We start from the raw sequence: 4238 nt of genomic DNA on the forward strand, positions 1-4238 counted from the left end.
AAGACGCTCATTTCTGCATTTCTGCATTTCCATCTGATTTCTGCATCTCCATCTGAGGTACCGGGTTCATCTCACTAGGGAGTGCCAGAGAGTGGGCGCAGGTCAGTGGGTGCGCGCACCGTGCGCGAGCCGAAGCAGGGCGAGCATTGCCTCACTTGGGAAGCGCAAGGGGTCAGGGAGTTCCCTTTCTGAGTCAAAGAAAGGGGTGACGGATGGCACCTGGAAAATTGGGTCACTCCCACCCGAATGCTGCGCTTTTCCGACGGGCTTAAAAAAACGGCGCAGCACGACCTTATATCCCGCACCTGGCTCCGACGGTCCTACACCCACGGAGTCTCGCTGATTGCTAGCACAGCAGTCTGAGATTAAACTGCAAGGCGGCAGCGAGGCTGGGGGAGGGGCGCCCGCCATTGCCCAGGCTTGATTAGGTAAACAAAGCAGCCGGGAAGCTCCAACTGGGTGGAGCCCACCACAGCTCAAGGAGGCCTGCCTGCCTCTGTAGGCTCCACCTCTGGGGGCAGGGCACAGACAAACAAAAAGACAGCAGTAACCTCTGCAGACTTAAATGTCCCTGTCTGACAGCTTTGAAGAGAGCAGTGGTTCTCCCAGCACGCAGCTGGAGATCTGAGAACGGGCAGACTGCCTCCTCAAGTGGGTCCCTGACCCCTGACCCCCGAGCAGCCTAACTGGGAGGCAACCCCCAGCAGGGGCACACTGACACCTCACACAGCAGGGTACTCCAACAGACCTGCAGCTGAGGGTCCTCTCTGTTAGAAGGAAAACTAACACAAAGGACATCCACACCAAAAACCCATCTGTACAACACCATCATCAAAGACCAAAAGTAGATAAAACCACAAAGATGGGGAAAAAACAGAACAGAAAAACTGGAAACTCTAAAAAGCAGAGCGCCTCTCCTCCTCCAAAGGAACGCAGTTCCTCACCAGCAATGGAACAAAGCTGGATGGAGAATGACTTTGATGAGTTGAGAGAAGAAGGCTTCAGACGATCAAATTACTCTGAGCTACGGGAGGACATTCAAACCAAAGGCAAAGAAGTTGAAAACTTTGAAAAAAATTTAGAAGAATGTATAACTAGAATAACCAATACAGAGAAGTGCTTAAAGGAGCTGATGGAGCTGAAAACCAAGGCTCGAGAACTACATGAAGAATGCAGAAGCCTCAGGAGCTGATGCGATCAACTGGAAGAAAGGGTATCAGCGATGGAAGATGAAATGAATGAAATGAAGCGAGAAGGGAAGTTTAGAGAAAAAAGAATAAAAAGAAATGAGCAAAGCCTCCAAGAAATATGGGACCATGAGAAAAGACCAAATCTACGTCTGATTGGTGTACCTGAAAGTGATGGGGAGAATGGAACCAAGTTGGAAAACACTCTGCAGGATATTATCCAGGAGAACTTCCCCAATCTAGCAAGGCAGGCCAACGTTCAGATTCAGGAAATACAGAGAACGCCACAAAGATACTCCTCGAGAAGAGCAACTCCAAGACACATAATTGTCAGATTCACCAAAGTTGAAATGAAGGAAAAAATGTTAAGGGCAGCCAGAGAGAAAGGTCGGGTTACCCTCAAAGGGAAGCCCATCAGACTAACAGCAGATCTCTTGGCAGAAACCCTGAAAGCCAGAAGAGAGTGGGGGCCAATATTCGACATTCTTAAAGAAAAGAATTTTCAACCCAGAATATCATATCCAGCCAAACTAAGCTTCATAAGTGAAGGAGAAATAAAATCCTTTACAGACAAGCAAATGCTGAGAGATTTTGTCACCACCAGGCCTGCCCTAAAAGAGCTCCTGAAGGAAGTGCTAAACATGGAAAGGAACAACCGGTACCAGCCGCTGCAAAATCATGCAAAAATGTAAAGACCATCGAGACTAGGCAGAAACTGCATCAACTAACGAGCAAAATAACCAGCTAACATCATAATGACAGGATCAAATTCACACATAATAATATTAACGTTAAATGTAAATGGACTAAATGCTCCAATTAAAAGACACAGACTGGCAAATTGGATAAAGAGTCAAGACCCATCAGTGTGCTGTATTCAGGAAACCCATCTCACGTGCAGAGACACACATAGGCTCAAAATAAAAGGATGGAGGAAGATCTACCAAGCAAATGGAAAACAAAAAAAGGCAGGGGTTGCAATCCTAGTCTCTGATAAAGCAGACTTTAAACCAACAAAGATCAAAAGAGACAAAGAAGGCCATTACATAATGGTAAAGGGATCAATTCAACAAGAAGAGCTAACTATCCTAAATATATATGCACCCAATACAGGAGCACCAAGATTCATAAAGCAAGTCCTGAGTGACCTACAAAGAGACTTAGACTCTCACACATTAATAATGGGAGACTTTAACACCCCACTGTCAACATTAGACAGATCAACGAGACAGAAAGTCAACAAGGATACCCAGGAATTGAACTCAGCTCTGCACCAAGTGGACCTAATAGACATCTACAGAACTCTCCACCCCAAATCAACAGAATATACATTTTTTTCAGCACCACAACACACCTATTCCAAAATTGACCACATAGTTGGAAGTAAAGCTCTCCTCAGCAAATGTAAAAGAGCAGAAATTATAACAAACTATCTCTCAGGCCACAGTGCAATCAAACTAGAACTCAGGATTAAGAATCTCACTCAAAACCACTCAACTACATGGAAACTGAACAACCTGCTCCTGAATGACTACTGGGTACATAACGAAATGAAGGCAGAAATAAAGATGTTCTTTGAAACCAATGAGAACAAAGACACAACATACCAGAATCTCTGGGACGCATTCAAAGCAGTGTGTAGAGGGAAATTTATAGCACTAAATGCCCACAACAGAAAGCAGGAAAGATCCAAAATTGACACCCTAACATCACAATTAAAAGAACTAGAAAAGCAAGAGCAAACACATTCAAAAGCTAGCAGAAGGCAAGAAATAACTAAAATCAGAGCAGAACTGAAGGAAATAGAGACACAAAAAACCCTTCAAAAAATTAATGAATCCAGGAGCTGGTTTTTTGAAAGGATCAACAAAATTGATAGACTGCTAGCAAGACTAATAAAGAAAAAAAGAGAGAAGAATCAAATAGACACAATAAAAAATGATAAAGGGGATATCACCACTGATCCCACAGAAATACAAACTACCATCAGGGAATACTACAAACACCTCTACGCAAATAAACTAGAAAATCTAAAAGAAATGGATAAATTCCTGGACACATACACTCTCCCAAGACTAAACCAGGAAGAAGTTGAATCTCTGAATAGACCAATAACAGGAGCTGAAATTGTGGCAATAATCAATAGCTTACCAACCAAAAAGAGTCCAGGACCAGATGGATTCACAGCCAAATTCTACCAGAGGTACAAGGAAGAACTGGTACCATTCCTTCTGAAATTATTCCAATCAATAGAAAAAGAGGGAATCCTCCCCAACTCATTTTATGAGGCCAGCATCATTCTGATACCAAAGCCAGGCAGAGACACAACAAAAAAAGAGAATTTTACACCAATATCCTTGATGAACATTGATGCAAAAATCCTCAATAAAATACTGGCAAAACGAATCCAGCAGCACATCAAAAAGCTTATCCACCATGATCAAGTGTGCTTCATCCCTGGGATGCAAGGCTGGTTCAATATGCACAAATCAATAAATGTAATCCAGCATATAAACACAGCCAAAGACAAAAACCACATGATTATTCAATAGATGCAGAAAAAGCCTTTGACAAAATTCAACAACCCTTCATGCTAAAAACTCTCAATAAATTAGGTATTGATGGGACGTATTTCAAAATAATAAGAGCTATCTATGACAAACCCACAACCAATATCATACTGAATGGGCAAAAACTGGAAGCATTCCCTTTGAAAACTGGCACAAGACAGGGATGCCCTCTCTCACCACTCCTATTCAACATAGTGTTGGAAGTTCTGGCCAGGGCAATTAGGCAGGAGAAGGAAATAAAGTGTATTCAATTAGGAAAAGAGGAAGTCAAATTGTCCCTGTTTGCAGACGACATGATTGTATATCTAGAAAACCCCATTGTCTCAGCCCAAAATCTCCTTAAGCTGATAAGCAACTTCAGCAAAGTCTCAGGATACAAAATCAATGTACAAAAATCACAAGCATTCTTATACACCAACAACAGACAAACAGAGAGCCAAATCATGAGTGAACTCCCATGCACAATTGCTTCAAAGAGAAT

The 4238-nt window shown here is 42.8% G+C and overlaps 1 annotated feature.

Moving 5' to 3' along the window:
- Positions 235-818: an enhancer, noted in NCBI's record as "OCT4-NANOG-H3K27ac-H3K4me1 hESC enhancer chr2:118561637-118562220 (GRCh37/hg19 assembly coordinates)". NCBI's record gives its function as "activates a minimal SCP1, AML or CMV promoter by ChIP-STARR-seq in naive H9 embryonic stem cells {active_cell/tissue: H9 hESC(naive)}" and the evidence as "EXISTENCE:reporter gene assay evidence [ECO:0000049][PMID:30033119]".

This window comes from Homo sapiens, chromosome 2, assembly GCF_000001405.40.
Source record: "Homo sapiens chromosome 2, GRCh38.p14 Primary Assembly".
Classification (NCBI taxonomy): domain Eukaryota; kingdom Metazoa; phylum Chordata; class Mammalia; order Primates; family Hominidae; genus Homo; species Homo sapiens.